The sequence below is a fragment of the Homo sapiens genome, chromosome 4 (assembly GCF_000001405.40).
Source record: "Homo sapiens chromosome 4, GRCh38.p14 Primary Assembly".
NCBI lineage: Eukaryota > Metazoa > Chordata > Mammalia > Primates > Hominidae > Homo > Homo sapiens.
In genome coordinates, this window is record NC_000004.12 from 52,537,921 (window position 1) to 52,560,780 (window position 22,860).

Below are 22,860 nucleotides of genomic sequence, written 5' to 3' on the forward strand. Positions count from 1 at the left end.
GGGCTCTCTGATGCTCTGCTGTCCTGTGGGTCTTACTCTTCTTTGGCTGTTATGTGGCTTTCCCTCGATTCCCAGGAGGCCTGGCAACAAGCTTGAGATTCCTGTTTTCCTTAGTCCCACAAATATGCTAGCAAACTGTCCCCTACTTTTACTCGAAGTAACACAGGTAAGTGTATTCCTTGCTACCAAGCAGTGGGGTGTGTTATTTGTACAGTGTGGATGTATGTGTTTGTCTAGTGTGTTGTATGCTGGGAGGATGAGATGAGAGGCCAAACGCAGAGGACAGAATCACCTTGATAAGTTTGGGAGAACAGGGGGGTGATAAGGTAGGGAAGTCTGGGAATGGGAGTAATAGGAGTGAGCAAACTCATTTGGGCTTCTTCACATATGTCTGGCACCTGGTCTGTGGCTTCCTGTGTCCATCAGTTTCCCTATCTCTTAAATATACTGCATATCAAGAGAAAAGGGTACACGTCTCTTCTATGGACATTCCTAATCTATTGTTATGTTTATTCAGAAAGTCATCTCATCTTCCTCTAAAGAATGTGTTAGGGAGGAGCCAAGATGGCCGAATAGGAACAGCTCCGGTCTACAGCTCCCAGCGTGAGCGACGCAGAAGACGGGTGATTTCTGCATTTCCATCTGAGGTACCAGCCTCATCTCACTAGGGAGTGCCAGACAGTGGGCGCAGGCCAGTGTGTGTGTGCACCGTGCGCGAGCCGAAGCAGGGCGAGGCATTGCCTCACCTGGGAAGCGCAAGGGGTCAGGGAGTTCCCTTTCCGAGTCAAAGAAAGGGGTGACGGACACACCTGGAAAATCGGGTCACTCCCACCCGAATATTGCGCTTTTCAGACAGGCTTAAGAAACGGCGCACCACGAGACTATATCCCACACCTGGCTCAGAGGGTCCTACGCCCACGGAATCTCGCTGATTGCTAGCACAGCAGTCTGAGATCAAACTGCAAGGCGGCAACGAGGCTGGGGGAGGGGCGCCCGCCATTGCCCAGGCTTGATTAGGTAAACAAAGCAGCTGGGAAGCTCCAACTGGGTGGAGCCCACCACAGCTCAAGGAGGCCTGCCTGCCTCTGTAGGCTCCACCTCTGGGGGCAGGGCACAGACAAACAAAAAGACAGCAGTAACCTCTGCAGACTTAAGTGTCCCTGTCTGACAGCTTTGAAGAGAGCAGTGGTTCTCCCAGCACGCAGCTGGAGATCTGAGAACGGGCAGACTGCCTCCTCAAGTGGGTCCCTGACCCCTGACCCCCGAGCAGCCTAACTGGGAGGCACCCCCCAGCAGGGGCACACTGACACCTCACACGGCAGGGTATTCCAACAGACCTGCAGCTGAGGGTCCTGTCTGTTAGAAGGAAAACTAACAACCAGAAAGGACATCTACACCGAAAACCCATCTGTACATCACCATCATCAAAGACCAAAAGTAGATAAAACCACAAAGATGGGGAAAAAACAGAACAGAAAAACTGGAAACTCTAAAATGCAGAGCGCCTCTCCTCCTCCAAAGGAACGCAGTTCCTCACCAGCAACAGAACAAAGCTGGATGGAGAATGACTTTGACGAGCTGAGAGAAGAAGGCTTCAGACGATCAAATTACTCTGAGCTACGGGAGGACATTCAAACCAAAGGCAAAGAAGTTGAAAACTTTGAAAAAAATTTAGAAGAATGTATAACTAGAATAACCAATACAGAGAAGTGCTTAAAGGAGCTGATGGAGCTGAAAACCAAGGCTCAAGAACTACGTGAAGAATGCAGAAGCCTCAGGAGCCGATGCGATCAACTGGAAGAAAGGGTATCAGCAATGGAAGATGAAATGAATGAAATGAAGCGAGAAGGGAAGTTTAGAGAAAAAAGAATAAAAAGAAATGAGCAAAGCCTCCAAGAAATATGGGACTATGTGAAAAGACCAAATCTACGTCTGATTGGTGTACCTGAAAGTGATGTGGAGAATGGAACCAAGTTGGAAAACACTCTGCAGGATATTATCCAGGAGAACTTCCCCAATCTAGCAAGGCAGGCCAACGTTCAGATTCAGGAAATACAGAGAACGCCACAAAGATACTCCTCGAGAAGAGCAACTCCAAGACACATAATTGTCAGATTCACCAAAGTTGAAATGAAGGAAAAAATGTTAAGGGCAGCCAGAGAGAAAGGTCGGGTTACCCTCAAAGGAAAGCCCATCAGACTAACAGCGGATCTCTCGGCAGAAACCCTACAAGCCAGAAGAGAGTGGGGGCCAATATTCAACATTCTTAAAGAAAAGAATTTTCAACCTAGAATTTCATATCCAGCCAAGCTAAGCTTCATAAGTGAAGGAGAAATAGAATACTTTATAGACAAGCAAATGCTGAGAGATTTTGTCACCACCAGGCCTGCCCTAAAAGAGCTCCTGAAGGAAGCGCTAAACATGGAAAGGAACAACCGGTACCAGCCGCTGCGAAATCATGCCAAAATGTAAAGACCATCGAGACTAGGAAGAAACTGCATCAACTAATGAGCAAAATCACCAGCTAACATCATAATGACAGGATCAAATTCACACATAACAATATTAACTTTAAATATAAATGGACTAAATTCTGCAATTAAAAGACACAGACTGGCAAGTTGGATAAAGAGTCAAGACCCATCAGTGTGCTGTATTCAGGAAACCCATCTCACGTGCAGAGACACACATAGGCTCAAAATAAAAGGATGGAGGAAGATCTACCAAGCCAATGGAAAACAAAAAAAGGCAGGGGTTGCAATCCTAGTCTCTGATAAAACAGACTTTAAACCAACAAAGATCAAAAAAGTCAAAGAAGGCCATTACATAATGGTAAAGGGATCAATTCAACAAGAGGAGCTAACTATCCTAAATATTTATGCACCCAATACAGGAGCACCCAGATTCATAAAGCAAGTCCTGAGTGACCTACAAAGAGACTTAGACTCCCACACATTAATAATGGGAGACTTTAACACCCCACTGTCAACATTAGACAGATCAACGAGACAGAAAGTCAACAAGGATACCCAGGAATTGAACTCAGCTCTGCACCAAGCAGACCTAATAGACATCTACAGAACTCTCCACCCCAAATCAACAGAATATACATTTTTTTCAGCACCACACCACACCTATTCCAAAATTGACCACATAGTTGGAAGTAAAGCTCTCCTCAGCAAATGTAAAAGAACAGAAATTATAACAAACTATCTCTCAGACCACAGTGCAATCAAACTAGAACTCAGGATTAAGAATCTCACTCAAAGCCGCTCAACTACATGGAAACTGAACAACCTGCTCCTGAATGACTACTGGGTACATAACGAAATGAAGGCAGAAATAAAGATGTTCTTTGAAACCAACGAGAACAAAGACACCACATACCAGAATCTCTGGGACGCATTCAAAGCAGTGTGTAGAGGGAAATTTATAGCACTAAATGCCTACAAGAGAAAGCAGGAAAGATCCAAAATTGACACCCTAACATCACAATTAAAAGAACTAGAAAAGCAAGAGCAAACACATTCCAAAGCTAGCAGAAGGCAAGAAATAACTAAAATCAGAGCAGAACTGAAGGAAATAGAGACACAAAAAACCCTTCAAAAAATCAATGAATCCAGGAGCTGGTTCTTTGAAAGGATCAACAGAATTGATAGACCGCTAGCAAGACTAATAAAGAAAAAAAGAGAGAAGAATCAAATAGACACAATAAAAAATGATAAAGGGGATATCACCACCGATCCCACAGAAATACAAACTATCATCAGAGAATACTACAAACACCTCTACGCTAATAAACTAGAAAATCTAGAAGAAATGGATACATTCCTCGACACATACACTCTCCCAAGACTAAACCAGGAAGAAGTTGAATCTCTGAATAGACCAATAACAGGCTCTGAAATTGTGGCAATAATCAATAGTTTACCAACCAAAAAGAGTCCAGGACCAGATGGATTCACAGCCGAATTCTACCAGAGGTACAAGGAGGAACTGGTACCATTCCTTCTGAAGCTATTCCAATCAATAGAAAAAGAGGGAATCCTCCCTAACTCATTTTATGAGGCCAGCATCATTCTGATACCAAAGCCGGGCAGAGACACAACCAAAAAAGAGAATTTTAGACCAATATCCTTGATGAACATTGATGCAAAAATCCTCAATAAAATACTGGCAAACCGAATCCAGCAGCACATCAAAAAGCTTATCCACCATGATCAAGTGGGCTTCATCCCTGGGATGCAAGGCTGGTTCAATATACGCAAATCAATAAATGCAATCCAGCATATAAACAGAGCCAAAGACAAAAACCACATGATTATCTCAATAGATGCAGAAAAAGCCCTTGACAAAATTCAACAACCCTTCATGCTAAAAACTCTCAATAAATTAGGTATTGATGGGACGTATTTCAAAATAATAAGAGCTATCTATGACAAACCCACAGCCAATATCATTCTGAATGGGCAAAAACTGGAAACATTCCCTTTGAAAACTGGCACAAGACAGGGATGCCCTCTCTCACCGCTCCTATTCAACATAGTGTTGGAAGTTCTGGCCAGGGCAATCAGGCAGGAGAAGGAAATAAAGGGTATTCAATTAGGAAAAGAGGAAGTCAAATTGTCCCTGTTTGCAGACGACATGATTGTTTATCTAGAAAACCCCATCGTCTCAGCCCAAAATCTCCTTAAGCTGATAAGCAACTTCAGCAAAGTCTCAGGATGCAAAATCAATGTACAAAAATCACAAGCATTCTTATACACCAACAACAGACAAACAGAGAGCCAAATCATGAGTGAACTCCCATTCACAATTGCTTCAAAGAGAATAAAATACCTAGGAGTCCAACTTACAAGGGACGTGAAGGACCTCTTCAAGGAGAACTAAAAACCACTGCTCAAGGAAATAAAAGAGGACACAAACAAATGGAAGAACATTCCATGCTCATGGGTAGGAAGAATCAATATCGTGAAAATGGCCATACTGCCCAAGGTAATTTACAGATTCAATGCCATCCCCATCAAGCTACCAATGACTTTCTTCACAGAATTGGAAAAAACTACTTTAAAGTTCATATGGAACCAAAAAAGAGCCCGCATCGCCAAGTCAATCCTAAGCCAAAAGAACAAAGCTGGAGGCATCACACTACCTGACTTCAAACTATACTACAAGGCTACAGTAACCAAAACAGCATGGTACTGGTACCAAAACAGAGATATAGATCAATGGAACAGAACAGAGCCCTCAGAAATAATGCCACATATCTACAACTATCTGATCTTTGACAAACCTGAGAAAAACAAGCAATGGGGAAAGGATTCCCTATTTAATAAATGGTGCTGGGAAAACTGGCTAGCCATATGTAGAAAGCTGAAACTGGATCCCTTCCTTACACCTTATACAAAAATCAATTCAAGATGGATTAAAGATTTAAACGTTAGACCTAAAACCATAAAAACCCTAGAAGAAAACCTAGGCATTACCATCCAGGACATAGGCGTGGGCAAGGACTTCATGTCTAAAACACCAAAAGCAATGGCAACAAAAGCCAAAATTGACAAATGGGATCTAATTAAACTAAAGAGCTTCTGCACAGCAAAAGAAACTACCATCAGAGTGAACAGGCAACCTACAACATGGGAGAAAATTTTCGCAACCTACTCATCTGACAAAGGGCTAATATCCAGAATCTACAATGAACTCAAACAAATTTACAAGAAAAAAACAAACAACCCCATCAAAAAGTGGGCGAAGGACATGAACAGACACTTCTCAAAAGAAGACATTTATGCAGCCAAAAAACACATGAAGAAATGCTCATCATCACTGGCCATCAGAGAAATGCAAATCAAAACCACTATGAGATATCATCTCACACCAGTTAGAATGGCAATCATTAAAAAGTCAGGAAACAACAGGTGCTGGAGAGGATGTGGAGAAATAGGAACACTTTTACACTGTTGGTGGGACTGTAAACTAGTTCAACCATTGTGGAAGTCAGTGTGGCGATTCCTCAGGGATCTAGAACTAGAAATACCATTTGACCCAGCCATCCCATTACTGGGTATATACCCAAAGGACTATAAATCATGCTGCTATAAAGACACATGCACACGTATGTTTATTGTGGCACTATTCACAATAGCAAAGACTTGGAACCAACCCAAATGTCCAACGATAGACTGGATTAAGAAAATGTGGCACATATACACCATGGAATACTATGCAGCCATAAAAAATGATGAGTTCATGTCCTTTGTAGGGACATGGATGAAATTGGAAACCATCATTCTCAGTAAACTATCGCAAGAACAAAAAACCAAACACCGCATATTGTCACTCATAGGTTGGAACTGAACAATGAGATCACTTGGACACAGGAAGGGGAATATCACACTCTGGGGACTGTGGTGGGGTCGGGGGAGGGGGGAGGGATAGCATTGGGAGATATACCTAATGCTAGATGACACGTTAGTGGGTGCAGCGCACCAGCATGGCACACGTATACATATGTAACTAACCTGCACAATGTGCACATGTACCCTAAAACTTAGAGTATAATAAAAAAAAAAAAAAATTAAAAAAAAAAAAAAAAGAGGAAGTGAATAAATGTATTCATGTATATATTTTTTCTAATCTGGACAAAAATTTAAGGTTGAATTCACAGCCAACAGTAATAAAATATGTTAATTCCTGAGAAAAAAAAAAAAAAAAGAATGTGTTATAGGCCTGGAGTGGTGGCTCATCCTTGTAATCCCAGTACTGTTCAAGGCTGAGGCAGGAGGTTTGCTTGAGCCCAGGAGTTCAAGATCAGCCTAGGCAACATAGTGGGACCCCATTTCAACAAAAAAATACAAAAATTAGCCATGTGTGGTGGTGCATGCCTGTACTCTCAGCTACTCAGGAGGCTGAGGCAGATGATCACTTGAGCCTCAAAGGTTGAGACTACTGTGAGCTATGATCGCACCACTGCACTCCAGCTTGGGCGACTCTAGAAGAACCCCATCTTAAAACAACAACAACAACAACGAATGCTTTATAGAGTGTACTGGTCAGGACTCTTGGTCAAACGGGGAAAAAACTCAATTTGGACTAGCCTAAGCTAACACTCCCCTCTCTCTCCTGTCTGTCTGTCTTCTCTCTCTCTCTCTCTCTCTTTCCCTCTCTCTCTCTCTCTCTCCCTCTCTGTCTTTGAGACAGGGTCTCCAGGCTGGAGTGCAATGGTGCAATCACAGCTCACTACAACCTCCAAGTCCTAGACTCAAGCGATCCTCCCACCTCAGCCTCCCCCAAGAGCAGCTTGGACCACAGGCCTGTTCCAACACACCCAGCCCCTCCTCCTGAGTCTGCTCCTCCTGGCTTGTCGGGCACCTTCTCACAGGCCTGCTGTCTCCTTGAGGCTGAATCCTGAGAGCACAGATCCTGTGTTCACATCCTCGCAGCTTCACCTGCCCAGATGACAGACACTCAGAGCAATTGCTATGACCAGAAGGGGACAGTCAGCTCCTATTTGAATCAAATGTTGAACTTTTGGCAAGAGATGTGGGGCAGACCGAGCAAGCCCACTAAAGGAGTTGTTGGGGTCCCCCACACTAACACTTTGCATCTGCTGCCGGAGCCGTTATTGCCCTCACTGTCTCAGATTTGGCCAGCACTTAGTGGCTGCACAGGGACACTTCCCCTCTAGACCTGCTGCTCCCCTTTAGCCCAGTAGGAGGCAGCATTGCCCCTCCTTGCCCTACGACTCGCTGGACTGATTCCAGGCTTCCAGCTCAGCAGGAAGAGGATCCATTAAAAAGATTTTATCTTCGGAAAACCTTATCACCCCTCAAATGTCAAGACTTTCAGAAATTAATCTAGAGTTTTCTCCTTTTCAGGTCTCAAATTTTAAAACAGAATCATAAAATGCTAGAGCCAGGAGGAGCCTCTGGAGTCCTGTCACATCCAGCCCTCTGTTTTAAAGATGAATAGATCGACCAAGGCAGAGACTCAAATACATATTCTAACATTTGGTACCAGATTGCGAAGTCATTGGAACCGAGCATAAAAAGCTATCAAGGAGAGATAAAAGATCTGAAGGAAAGGTTGCGTATCAATTTCTGGAAAGCTGGACTAAACTTTTAATGGAAAACAATTATTTTATAAAAAGGTAAAGAGAAAAGGTGAAATTTTAAAAATAGGTTAAGTAATACTTCAATAATATTTAACCTACATATCAAATATACTATTATTTCACCATGTAGTCAGTAAAGACACCTGTGAATAAGATCTTTTGCATTCTTTTTCTGTACTAAATCTTTGAGATCTGGTGAGTATTGTACAGTTATAGCATATCTCAATTTGGACAAGCCATGTCTCAAGTGCTTAGTAGCCACATGCAGCCAGTGGCTACTGTGTTGGATGGTGCAGAATTGAAAAACAGGTTAGTACAGAACCTTGTGGAGCCCTCAGGACAAGCTGCACAGACATTTGAGCTCACCCAGGGCATTCTGGGGAAATGTCTTATACCAACAGAATATAAGGGGCTGATATATTTTACCAAAAAGAGCTTCCTGTTTGAAAAAAAATATATACTTTTCACCCCATCTCCTCTCCTCAGATAAGCTGCAGAAGGATGCATGATCATCGCATCATTATTATTCTTAAACAATGAACTGAAGTGGACCAGTCAAGTGAATGCCAAAGGGAGTTTGATGGAAGAGGCTGTCCTGTTCTCGCCTAGAGTGACCTCACAATCTGTGGCCCAGGAGGATTTTATAAGATATCAGCATGCCTGTGGAGAACAAATGAATAGTTTTTTCCTTAGTGCTAAAAACACCAGAGGCAATTTTCACATACCCACCCTTCGTTTTTACAGGACGTGGTGGGGGAGTCAGGCTGTAATCACAGTGTGTTAACTGAGGATAAAATAGAGAGCATCAGCTAGATTGCTCTTTCTTGAAAACAACAGCCAAAAAAGAAAAACAGCACTCAGGATTTTGAGTCGTTTTGCATGCTCAGGAGAGGATGGCAGTTTCAAGCACAACATCAAGAGGAAGGACAAAGTTGAGCCCAACTGGGCACCAGCAAGGAGTGGGTGCACCCATCCATGCCTCCACGCTCCTAAAAATGAGGGCTCCCGTCATTTTGGGGTAGTGGGTGTTTCACAGCCTGTTCTCCTCAGCAGCTTTGAAATTCCGCGTTCTGAGTTCTGGTAGTGTAGCCTGGCACAGAGTTGCAGGGACAAGGTTTGTTCGCACCCTAATCTCCTACCCCAGCCTGCTGTCTTCCTGGCTGCCCCACAATCTGAAGTCGAGGGTTTCTCACTAAACACTGAGCAGAGCGGCAGGCAGACCTTGACCTTGCCTCATACGTTCAAGTGAAATAAGCAACCACCCTAAAAAAGAAACCAAGTTTTGCCTTTGTTGATGGATTCCTCCTTCTATGGAAGTATCTGTGATAAGGATACTGTCATCCTGAACCACTGAGTCCTTTGTTCCAAAAATAGTGATTGACAGTCATTGATCACTTACTGCCGGGTGCCTATAGTAACTCATTTAAAGCTCTGCATAATAGTCCTTCCACAGCCGGTTGTGGTGGCTCACACCTGTAATCCCAGCACTTTAGGAGCCTGAGGTGGGCGGATCACTTGAGGTCAAGAGTTCAAGACCAGCCTGGCCAACATGGCGAAACCCTGTCTCTACTAAAAATACAAAATTAGCTGGGCTTTGTGGCAAGCGCCTGTAATCCCAGCTACTCGGGAGGTTGAGGCACAAGAATTGCTTGAACCTGGGAGGCAGAAGTTGCAGTGAGTTGAGATCACACCACTGCACTCCAGCCTGGGCAACAAGAGCAAAACTCCATCTCAAAAAATAATAATAATAATAATAAATAAAAATAAAATAAAATAAATAAAAATAAATTAACCAGTTATGGTGGCTCACACATGTAGTCCCAGCTACTCAGGAGGCTGAGGCAGGAGAGTCGCTTGAACCCAGGAGGCAGAGGTTGCAGTGAGCTGAGATTGTGCCATTGCAATCCAGCCTGGGCAACATAGAGAGATTCTGTCCAATAATAATAATAACAGTAATAGTCCCTCCAAACTATCCTAAGTGCTTTGTATACTGTATTAAAGTCCTAGGTTCGCCATAACAAAGTACCACAGACTGGGTGGCTTCAACAACAGAAATTGTATTTTTCCACAGTTCTGGAGGCCAGGCATCCAAGATCTAGGTGTCAGCAGTTTTGGTTTCTTCTGAAGCTATGAAGGAGACTCTGTTCCACACCCCTCTCCCAGCTTCTGGGGGTTTGCTGGCAATCTTTGGTATTCCTTGGCTTGTAGATGCAACACCCTAGTCTCTGCCTTTGCCTTCACATGGCATTTTCCCTTTGTATGTCTGTATCCAAATCTCTCCTTTTCAAAAGGGCACTGGTCATGCTGGATTAGGGCACACACTAATAACTTTATTTTAAGTTGATTACTTCTGTGAAGACCCTGTTTTCAAATAAGGTCACCTTCTGAGGTCTTGGAGGTTAGGACTCCAGTTTGTTTTGAGGGGGACACAATTCAACCCATAACACACATATTAACTCATTTGTCTTTCCAACAGCCCTTCAAGGCATCTTCCTGGATAATTTATCCCATTTGCAGAAGAGGGCACCTGGGACACAGAGAAAGTAAATGACTGGCCAAGGTCACTGTATTAGTCGGTTTTCATGCAGCTGATAAAGACATACCTGAGACTGGGTAATTTATAATGAAAAAGAGGTTTAACGAACTCACAGTTCCATGTGGCTAGGGAGGCCTCATAATCATGGCAGAAAGCAAAAGGCACTTCTTACATGGCGGCAGCAAGACAGAAAACTTGTGCAGGGAAACTCTCCTTTATGAAACCATCAGATCTTTTGAAACTTATTCACTGTCACGAGAACAGCACAGGAAAGACCTGCCTCCATGATTCAATTACCTCCCACCAGGTCCCTCCCAAGACGTGGGAATTGTGTGAACTATGATTCAAGATAAGATTTGGGTGAGGACACAGCCAAACCATAGCAGTTACCAAGTTGGCAGTTGGTGGAGTCCCACAGGCTGTCTAGTTTGAGTGAGTCTGCTGTGCAACCCCATATGTATTGTTATTACTGTCTCAGATTTACACCTGAGGAAACCAAAATATACAGGTCACAAAACCCACCAGTATTACACAGTGAGTCATTGGCAGAGCTGGAGTTTGAACCCACTGCTATTCGGCTTCAGCACCTGAGCTGGTAATCACTAAACTATGTGACTTCTCTTACATAAAAATATCTTCCCAGAATTCAGGAAAGGCTAATTCGCCACTGCACACTTTCCAAGGACTGCACAATTCTTTGGTGGTGTTGGTTATGCATGACAGTAACTGTTGGAAGGGACTGGTGTCGGTCATTGGCGTAGGGCAGCAGGGTGAGTATCAGGAAAAAGCAAAAGGACCCAGGGGATCTGCAAGTCCTTGAGCCCCCACCTCTAGCACTGCCCTTAACCACCTCGGCCTCTGCCAGGGAACCAGGAAGAGGATGGGCAAATAGGAGGGCAATTCTGGGCTGCTTTGGGTAAAATAAAAAGGGGGCAGGAAATGAAAGGATTCAGGCTGTTAAAAGAAGCGACTCAACAGATCTTGCCTTATCCTTTCTTCCTTACTGGAAGGAAGCGGGTCTTACTGTCGCATGAGGAAATGGGGGAGCCCAGCTCCTGAGCATTCAGGCTAGTCTTGGTGTGATTCATAGTGTGATGATTTCTCTCTCTGAAAAATTTAAATGTAGAGACACAAAGCTGGGAGTTGAGAGCTGTGTCTCATGAATGTCACAACTGGGGTCCACACCTACCCTCCTCAGGATTAGCTGTTCAATTCCTCCTGGAATTTTGGGAGAAATCCATTGAATCCCACCCCCAACTCCCTGTTACTAGTTGTTAGTGGTGGTTAAGAGAGCTTGAGTTGTTTTCTCTATTCACTTAGTTTGAGTCCTGTACACTCATAAAAGTTATATCATTACCTTTCATTTCATTGAATCTAAACTATCTTTTCCCCATTTGCCCAATTTAATGAATTTCCTCAATTTAGTTCTCACTAATTACACACCCTACTCAGTATCTAAAATAAATCCATTTTTTTATACCCGTAGTGTAAAAGCTCCCTGAGGGTAGTGATTTCATCTTTTGTTTACTTCTATATCCTGAGCACCTAGCAATATTGATAAAGAAGGAACAGCTATGTGTAAATTTTTTCTCTCATTTTATATACATGGTAACTTGCTATACATACTGTTCTGCATATGTGTTTGTCCACTTATCAATATATCATGGAGATTGTCAACATTTAGTGGGTCAACAGGCAGGGGACGGGACTTTTACATTTATTAAAATTACCTGCTTAGAGTTCCAAGCAGAATAAAAGCAATTCTCCATCCATGCATGCACAGACTAATCCCAGGAAGTAGCCGTCACCCAGCATGAATTAAATTCGCTGTGCAAGGCATGCCTGGTATGCAATAGAGCCCTCTCACTTTTTTGTTGTTTTTAATCTACATGACTGACACCATAGCCACTGTTTCTTAGTACACACCATTCAAGATACAGCTACATTTTAAAGTATCTATTTCACTCCATAGAATCCTTTTATCTTGCAATCACACTAAACTTGAGTGCCTTATACCTGACAGGTATTCAAGTGTGGGGAAGGGGTGTGAATGAAAAGTTAAGATATACTAAACCACAAAGTATATTAACTTTTTTTCCAAGTTAAGGTAGAAAAAGGGAGGAAATCAATACATTTTAATTTCTTTAAATGAAAAACTTTGGAATAACCACGGGATTTAACCCAATAAGCTAAGGCAAAATCATTTTGGTGACTTGTGCCTGGTGCCTGCCCATCCATCTACTTCATGACTTAGCACCAAGTTTTTTATCTGAATTTGGGTGTGTACCACTTGTGTAAGACACAGCAAATTTAAGAGTACCATCCCCAGATTGCAATGTCAAAGTTCTCATTTATGGCCTATCGACAAAAACATTGTAGGATGAAAAGAGGAGCATAGGCAGAATTATTGGAGTTTCAAAATTGGAACAATGTGAGATAAATGGGTGATCAGGGGTCAAAAGGGCTATTTATAAGGCTTACTCTTCTCCTAGACTTTAATTCTCCAGAACACTTATATCACCCCGTGGAAGTATCTTGCCTGTGAGTTTTTGTTTATTCTCTATTTCCTCCCACTGGAAAGTATGTTCCATGAGAGTAGAGACTTCATCTTTGTTCACTACTATATGTCTAGTTGCTGGCATATGGTACATGCTTAGTATGTATTTGTTGAATAAATGAATACACAAGAGAAGGATGAAGGTGACTTTTGGCTTCATCCCATTCCTATTGCTTAGGGGTCATTCATCTTAAGAACACTTCTAGAAATTACCAAAGAAAGTTTTTTCCATATAAACAAGTGGGAGTGGAGCAGATTCACTGTGCACTGATTACCAGTTTACCTGAGTACAGTGAGACAGAACACCCACATGCAAGTTACATGAAGCAGGTTTATCACTTACAGATAGGCAGCAATGGATAACAGAAGACAAGGCTTCATCCTGAGCTGGTCTCCCAAGGCTCACAAAGCTGCTTGGGGAACATAGTCTCCGAGGCATATGCCCCTCTTGCACTGCATCTGAGGGACCTGGAAATACAGTCTACCCTGGGCTTTATGCCCAGGGGCAATGAGATTCTGGGCCAAAGCATTGAAGGACATCCTATTTCTAGGGTGGGCTGGAACAGAGCCCAGGCTGTTCTGGCCAGTCCCCTACTATCTCATGACATTGCACTCCCAGCACATTCTACAGTTATTCTTAAGAATTACAAGTAAGAAAGTAGTGAGAACTGGGTCAGTCCAAGGCCACCTGGAGAACTGTCCTGCAGGAGTCATTGAGAAAGGAGTGGCCACCTGGGGTTCAGTGGAAAATTTTCTCTTAAAATGTAGCTACAGCCCAGGGTCCACAGAGCTTGACTTCAGTCTCACCAGTATTCTTTAGTTTTTCACTAACACTCTTTCCAAAGTCCTGCCTACCACCCCATTCCAAAGCCACATCCACACTTTCAGGCTTCCATTGACTCCTCCAGGTACCTACCTCTAGATTAGTTATCAATTACTGAGTGAAATATTACTTCAGAGTTAATGCCTTAAAATAAATACAGTATAATGGGAAATATATATTTGGTCTTTATCCCCAATTAGTGACCAACAGTTCTGAAACCCTTGGAATCCCCGGAGTGATAGGAGTGTTTCTGATATGTTAATGGAGATGACTGGTGGCTGCGGGGCCCCGGATACCTTCAGGATGGAGGCTGGTCACCCAAAAGACCAAGGCATGATTAGAGGGTTGGAACTTTTAGCCCACCTCAACCTTCAGGACCAACAGCTAATGATTTAATTAATCACACCTTCATAAACATCCCCCAACAACAGGGTTCAGGAAGCTTCCAGGTACTGGGAGGGTGGCATGCTAGAAAAAGGAATGGAAGCTCCGTGTACCCCTCCCTGTCCCTGTACCTTGCCCTATGCATCTCTTTCGTTTGGCTATTAGAATAAACCAGTAAAAGTGGTAATGTGTGTTCCTGAGTTCTGTGAGCCATTCTAGCAAATTATCAAACCTGAGGAGGTAGCAGATATGTGGCTGGTTGGTCAAAAGCACAGGAGGCCTGGGACTGAAGACCAGCATCTGAAATAGGAGGGACTGAGTCATTCACCTGTAGGGCCTGCACAGGTAGAGTCGGAATTGGTTGGAATTGAACGCTCAGCTGGTGTCCAGAGAATCAGAAAATAGGTTGTTGGTGTGGAAAACCCCCATACCTTTTGGGTCAGAAGTGTTGTGAGGAGATACAGCTCAACAATAAACATTTATTATCTCATCATTTCTGTGAGAAAGGAATTTGGGCGCAGCTTATCTGGTTGGTTCTGGATTGGAGTCTTGCCAAGAGGTTGTAATCAAGACGTTGTCCTGGGCTGCAGTCATCTGAAGGTTTGACTGGGCCTGGAAGATTTACGTCCAAAGTGACTCACTCATATGACTGTCTGGTGGTTACAGGTGTAGGCAGGAGGCCTCATATCACCAGTTGGGCCTCTCCAGGGCGCTGCTCAGTCCATGACAGCCGGCTTCCCTCCCAGCAAGTGCCCAAGAGAGCAAAGTAAAAGCTGTAATGTGTTTTATTCCTGGCCTCCTAAGTCACAGCCTGTCATTTTAACAGTGTCCTATTGGTTACCCAAGTCAGCCCAACTGATTACAGAAGGGAATTAACAAGAACATGAAGACCAGGAGGTGAGGCTCTTCAAGGGCCATCTTGGAGGCTGCCAACCCACAGGGCTCACATACACTTTTCAAATAAATGAACAAAATATTTAATCAACTCCAAGTCCTCTGTATTCAGTCCATTTGGATCTAACATGAGAGATAATGGCTTTTGACGACATGCAACTTTTTACTGGCTTTAGCATTTTCACTCTGGAAGACCTCTGACAAGTGATCTACTTTCATTGTGCCTCAAGTCTTAAAACAAGAGCTGTAAGATCACCATGAAATTAAATAATTTTAGTGCCATGGAGAATGTTCATTAATGAAACCTTCCCACAGGACTGGCCCCACGCAAAATCATGAAGCTAAAGTAGCTTGCTTTTTCTAACCCATCTCCACAAATCTCCCCAATTTCCCCCACCCCTGCTCCCCGACCCTACACATGCAATATTCAGTTTAATGTACAGAGGCACGTATTTTGCAGGATTTGCTTCCACATGCCTTGAAAAAGTGCCAGTTGGAGATAATAATTGTGTATACATGCATGTTTCAGTAAACTCGATAAGGCCAATTTTTCCTGTAGCTTTAAAACATGTCACTGAATCTCAGTTGAACACCTGATGAAAATGGCTTACAAACAGAAGTTGAGATGTATGAAAATCCTGAACACTGGAGACATTTGTTGTGGAGAGATCATCAAGGAGTGAGATCTTGCTGAGGGGCAGCGGATTCCTACAGCTCATCTCAGGCTCACCTGAAGGGTACATGAATTGAGCGGAAGGATGGATAGAGTTTGCTTGTTTGTTCATTTAACACATATTTTCCAAGCACCTACTTTGTGCCAGGCACTGTTCTAGGTGTTAATCTATGCTCACTTTGGGTTTTTGCTCAAATATCATCATTTCAAGAAAGCGTAGCCTGACTGCCATATTTTAAATTGCAATTTTGATTGCAGTCTTCCCAATCCCTTATTCTGCTCTACATTTTCTTGTTTCATAACATGTGTTATGTTTTACTACATACTATGATTTACTTCTCTATTGCCTTTTGTTGTCTTTCTTCCCCCCCCCAACTCCATGCCAGAATTTCTGCTCCACAATGGCAGGAATCTCAATCTATTTTATTCATTGATACAGTGCCTGACTCATAATAGGAATTGAATTGAATGCCCCGCTGGTGTCCAGAGAATCAGAAAATAGGTTATTGGTGTGGAAAACCTCCATACCTTTGAGGTCAGAAGTGTTATGAGGAGATACAATACAGCTCAACAGTACACATTTATTATCTCATCATTTCTGTGAGAAAAGAATTTGGGAGCAGCTTTTCTGGTTGGTTGGTTGGTATTGAATAGTTGGTGAATGAACTGATGAGTGCTGGCAGCATAAGAATGAATAAAACATACCAAATTCTCTGTCTTCTACAAATTCATTCATTCATTTATTCTCTCTCTCTCTCTCTCTCTCTCCCTCCATGCATATAGTTGCCATTCACTGGGTTAAGTCCAGCTATGATGCTATCACATTGTTCCGACCTGCAAATATCATTTCTTACAAATGCCCTGGGCAATCCGTGGCTTCTTTCCAGAGCAGCCTAAATGCCCTTGCTACAAAACCTAGATCCCTAGTGCACTGCATATTCTAATTTCCCATTTGTTTTTATGAAAATAAAGTTTGCCTTTCAAATGTAAATGCTCCAGGGCCCCAGTCAGGCTTCCTGAACTCTCTGCACAGCAGTACCTCTGGGTTTAGGGAAGAAAACAGATTTATTTTTACTTTCATATTGGTCTAACAACGTTACAACGCTATACACACTTTTGTCAATAAAGTTAAGATTACCACCACCCCCCTTTCCAAACTATGAAAAAGACAAAACTCATTACTCTCCAAAAGCCACATAAAAGCAAAAACATTCCACTGACAGTTTAATAAAAAACAGGACATGCCAAACAGGAAGCATACAGAGAATGACAACTGGGATTAAGCAAGGGGGCTGGAGAGGACAGATTAAAGATTCTCGGTGAGCACAATCAACAACAGGAATGTTTAAGGGAGGGTTGCATTAAAGTGCATGAAAATGGTAACTGACTTCAGTAATATCTACTGCCTTTCAACACAGATAATGACATTAGTGTATGAGATACAGAATAGACATCAGGAACTATTTTTCCAGGTAGAAGACAAAACGAGAACAAAAAGCCTTATATGTCAAGACCAACTGGGTACAAAAACAGTGAAATGAGAACAGAATGTGAATAGAAGGGGAACGTTGCTGAAACCAGCAATTAAGAGCTGTCTCAGGAATTTAAAGGCGTGTTTTGGTGGGAGGCATGGAGCGGGAAGGGACACAAAAAAATCTTTGTGGCTTTGTTTCTTTTGCCGAGGGATGAAAGGCCAATAGTGGTTGGTCTTGCGAAGGAGGGAAAGAATTGTCAAACCTGCATTTCAAGGGCTGAGCTGTTTAACAAGGTAGCACTAGCCACATATGTGATTGAAGATTAAACGGAAATAATTTTTTTTATACTTTAAGTTGTAAGGTACATGTGCACAACTTGAAGGTTTGTTACATATGTATACATGTGCCATGTTGGTGTGCTGCACCCATTAACTCGTCATTTACATTAGGTATATCTCCTAATGCTATCCCCTTCTCCTCCTCCAACCCCATGACAGGCCCCCAGGTGTGATGTCCCCCACCCTGTGTCCAAGTGTTCTCATTGTTCAAATCCCACCTGTGAATGAGAACATGCAGTGTTTGGTTTTCTGTCCTTGCAAAAGTTTGCTCAGAATGATGGTTTCCAGCTTCATCCATGTCCCTACAAAGGACATGAACTCATCCTTTTTTATGGCTGCATAGCATTCCATGGTGTATATGTGCCACATTTTCTTAATCCAGTCTATCATTTATGGACATTTGGGGTTCCAAGTCTTTGCTATTGTGAATAGTGCCGCAGTAAACATATGTGTGCATGTGTCTTTATAGCAGCATGATTTATAATCCTTTGAAATGAAGTGTAAAATTCAGTTTCTCAATCACACCAGTCACATTTCAAGTGCTCAGTAGCCACACGTGACACATTGGACAGCACAGGGCCAGAACATTTGTTTCATCATTACAGAAACTCCTCTACGACAGCACTGCCATGGAGCATGGCAGGTAGGAAAGCAAGTTTTGGTCAGTATCAACTCCAGCTTTACCTGTGGTTCTCTTACCCCCTAAAGAGCTACAAACTCCTAATGTTAGAGTCTGCAAGGACAGTGCAACTGAAGTCAAAATTCTCATCACCCTTGAGGCTTCCTCCTCCACACACACAAATGAGGTTCAGAGTGGTTAGAATAAGGCATTTATTAAACATATCTTCATAAAGGTGCCAGAGATACTAAAGTGAATAAAACACAGATTAAAACCTCCAGGTACTTGCACCCTTCAGCCAGTAGGGTAGACATGAAAGAGACTAATGACATCAAGATGGTCAATATGGGAATAGAGATGCATATGAGGCACTGTAGCAAACTGGATTTTCAAACAAAAAAAATGGCCATGGCAATATTTCCAGTTTCACATGCCTTTCCAGATGCTTCCCTCTCCATCAAGAATGGGAATCCATTTCTTCTCCTTTTCCACCTAGAGAGCCTCATGACTGCTCAGACCTATACAGTAGAACGGAAGTGATGCTATGTGACTTCTGAGGCTAGGTCATATAAAAGACACACATTCCTCCCGGCTTGCTGTCTCTCTCTCTCTCTCTGCCACGTGAAGTGCACACCTTTGTAGCCCTCAGCCACCCTGTAAAAAGTCTAGCACTTTGAAGTTGTAATGCTAAAAAGACCATGTGGGAAAACAACAGAAATACAGAGAGAGATGCCCAAGGAGCCCCAGCTGTTCCATACTCCGGAGGTTTGGCCCTTCCCAGCATCAGCCAAGTGAGTGAATGTCCTCTCAAATGATTCCAGCCCAGCCTTTAAGTCTTCCAGATGAGGTCCTGTTAACACTCAGGGATGGCTGGAGTGTAGGCAGATGTAGTAAAGGTAGGAGTTTCATTTATTCATTCTCTTATTCATTTATCCAATAAATATATATATTTAACCCCATTGTGCCAGGCACCTGGCTTGTGCATCAGTTAAGATTGCTTTTGACTGAAAACAGCTGCACTCCCAAAAAAGTGGTTCAAATGCTAAGGACAAGTTGTCTATTTAATGAGAAAATCAGAGGGGAGCAGTCCCTGGAATATGTTGCTGTTTCCAGCTAGCCTCTTGCTATCTTTCTCCTTCACCAACCTCAGAATGTTGGCTTTTTATCTGAATGCCTCATGGTCACAAGATGGCTGTAATAGCTCCACGCATCACACCCTCTCAAGCTTCTCATGCCACATCCAAAGGCAGGAAGAAGAAGAACACCAAAGTTTCCTCTTGTGTGCTCTCAACTTTTATCAGAGAGAAAAACATTTATCTGAAGTTCCCACCAGCCAACTTCCCCTTATATCAAATCAACCAGGAGCAAATCACACAGCCATCCTAGCAGAGGGTAGATGAAACAGGGAGGGTGCTGGGAAAGTGAGTATCTGGCCTTTTCAGCTTCTATAGTGGAAAACAGACGAGGGAAAGGGGGATTGGAAAAATTAGGGGGAAGACAACCAGCAGGGCCTGCCACAGCGAGGCTCATCAAAGTAGTTGGGACATAATCCTGCCTTCAGAATGCCAAGGTAGGAAACATCCAATTATGCAATGCACAACCATGGAAAAGTATGGAAAGGCTGCAAGCAGCACACTTGAGATGTGGCCAGTAGCATAATGGGAGGCAGAGGAGAGGAAAGGAAGGGAGAAGGTAGCGATAGTTATTCCCTGGTGGTGATACTTTTGCAACAGGCACCCCCTACACACACACACACACAAACACACACACATCACACAATTACCATTTAATTCAATAAGAATAATAGGATGTATTAGGAAACTCTGCTGTCATGTGGAGCGAGGTTGGATGGGACCAGGTCAGAGGCAGAAGAAAGACTAGATTTTTCTTTCTTTTTTTTTTTTTGTTTTTGAGACAGAGTCTTACTCTGTCACCAGGCTGGAGTGCAGAGGCACGATCTCGGCTCACTGCAACCTCCGCCTCCCAGGTTCAAGAGATTCTCCTGCCTCAACCTCCCGAGTAGCTGGGACTACAGGCATGTACCACTACACCCAGCTAATTTTTGTATTTTTAGTAAAGACAGGTTTTCACCATGTTGGCCAGGATGGTCTCTATCTCTTGACCTCGTTATCCACCCGCCTCGGCCTCCCTAAGTGCTGGGATTACAGGCATGAACCACCGCGCCCAGCCTAGACTAGACTTTTCAAAAAAAATCTACCTTAGTTTCAAAACAGAAATGGGAAGCAGAGTTTGAAGAGCTTACTTTGTTATTATGTATGTCTTAGTCCATTGGGGTTGCTGTAACAAAGTATCATTAAATGGGTGGCTTATAGGCAACAGACATTTATTTCTCACAGTTCTGGAGACTGGGAAGTCCAAGATCAAGGCATCAGCAGATTTGGTGCTTAGTGAGGCCCTGTTTCTGTGTTCTCACGTGGTGGAAGGAGTGAGTGGTCTCTGTCTGGGTCTTTTATGAGGGTGCTAATCCCACCCAAGAGGATTCTTCTGCCCTTGTGATCTAATCAATGCCCAAAGACCTTGCTTCCTCATACCATCACCTTGGCAGTTAGGATTTCAATGTACGAATTTGGGGAGACACATTCAATCTATAACAATATAATCTACAGAAACATTAAAAATACCCTCCCTGGAATTCCTTTAAATTCAAATGCTTTATTTAATCAGAGAAATAGAATAGAAGAGTAGAGGCAGAAATCAATTTCTTTAGATTAAAAAAGCTTTGCAATGCATTAAGAGGGAACAAAGGAATTTAATAACACAAAGATAAGTGACAGTGGCAGACAATCCCCCAACACTGACTCTCACACAAACAGTACACTTTTTCCCAATGCAAGAGGGGAAATGCTACTAATTTTTCACTGAACTATTTTCTCTTCTCCAGTCCAGGCTGGACTTGATAAATAGAAAGTATTCAAACAAGAAATGGCTGAGATATTGTAAAATAATAATTAAACCACATACACAATTGCTCTAGCTGAAAAGGTCTCTAAGCATTTTTCTGTGGATAAGAAATGCACATGTTTACCTGGAAGCTTCTGTGTGTTCATAGGATATGGAGAGTGTGATTAAACTGGAAGATAGGTGAAACATAAAAGTAAACTGGATTATTCTACTAAGAAAAGTTACCTTTTTGTTGAAAAATGAATGTACTACTAGGTCTTGCTTTTGTCCCAAATAAGTGTTCAACCAGGAGATTTGAAGCTTCCACAGGATAAAAAAGGAAAATACGAACATGCTATGCGTATGGATTTTGAAAGGGGTTTGTGTATAGGTCATTAGTTGAGGAAGGGGAAGGGAGGTGGAAGATTATATCTGAGATGCTTAAATCACTCTTTGGGCTTCTCTTCATCACTGAGTTGCCCCAGCCAGGTGTAACCCTGGATAAACTGAGGAGACCTCCAGGTACAGCGACAATGGGACCTGAAAAAGACAGGCAAATAAGTGTCCACTCAATTGCCTAAGTTGCTTGGCACTGTGCAGAGGCCTGATGGAGCCATACTCTACTCTTACTGAGAACTCCATGCCCCTGGAACCAGTTGCCCAGTCCCAGCAGGGGCATGGTACATGTGACAGTAACATGTTTGGTCACAAAATAGGAGAAAGAAGAGTGACAATGAAACTGCTTCCTCCTATTCTCCCCCAACCCAACTCCCCCCACCCCTCTCTAATATAATTATTGATGGTTAATTTTATGTATCAACTTGGCTAGGCCATGGTACCCAGATATTTGGTCAAACATTATTCTAGATGTATCTGTGAAGGTACTTTTCAGATGATATTAACATTTGAATCAACAGACTTTGAGTAAAGCAGTGTATCAGTCTATTTTCGCACTGCTATTAGGTTAGCATAAAAAATAATTACCTTTAATTATTAATTTTAATGGCAAAAAACGCGATTACTTTTGCACCAACCTAATATAAAGATACTACCAGAGACTGGATAATATAAATTACCCAGGAATTCACATTATATTAAAGGAAAGAGGTTTAATTGACTCACAGTTCCACATGGCTGGGGTGGCCTCAGGAAACTTATGATAATGGCAGAAGGCGAAGGGCAAGCAAGCACCTTATTTACAAGGTGACAGGAGAGAGCGTGAGCAAAGGGGGAAAAGCCCTTATAAATTATCAGATCACATGAGAACTCAGCCACTATCATGAGAACTGCATGGGGGAAACTGCCTCCATGATCCAATCATCTCCCTCCCTCAACATGTGGGGATTACAATTTGAGATGAGATTTGAGTGGGGCCACAGAGCCAAACCATATCAAGCAGATTATGCTTCCTAGTGTGGGTGTGGGTGGGCCTCATCCAATCATTGGAGGCATTAACAGAACAAAGTCTGACCTCCCCAAGAACAAGCAGGAATTCTGCCAGCACATGGCCTCTGGACTGTGACTCTTCCCTAGGTCTCCAGCCT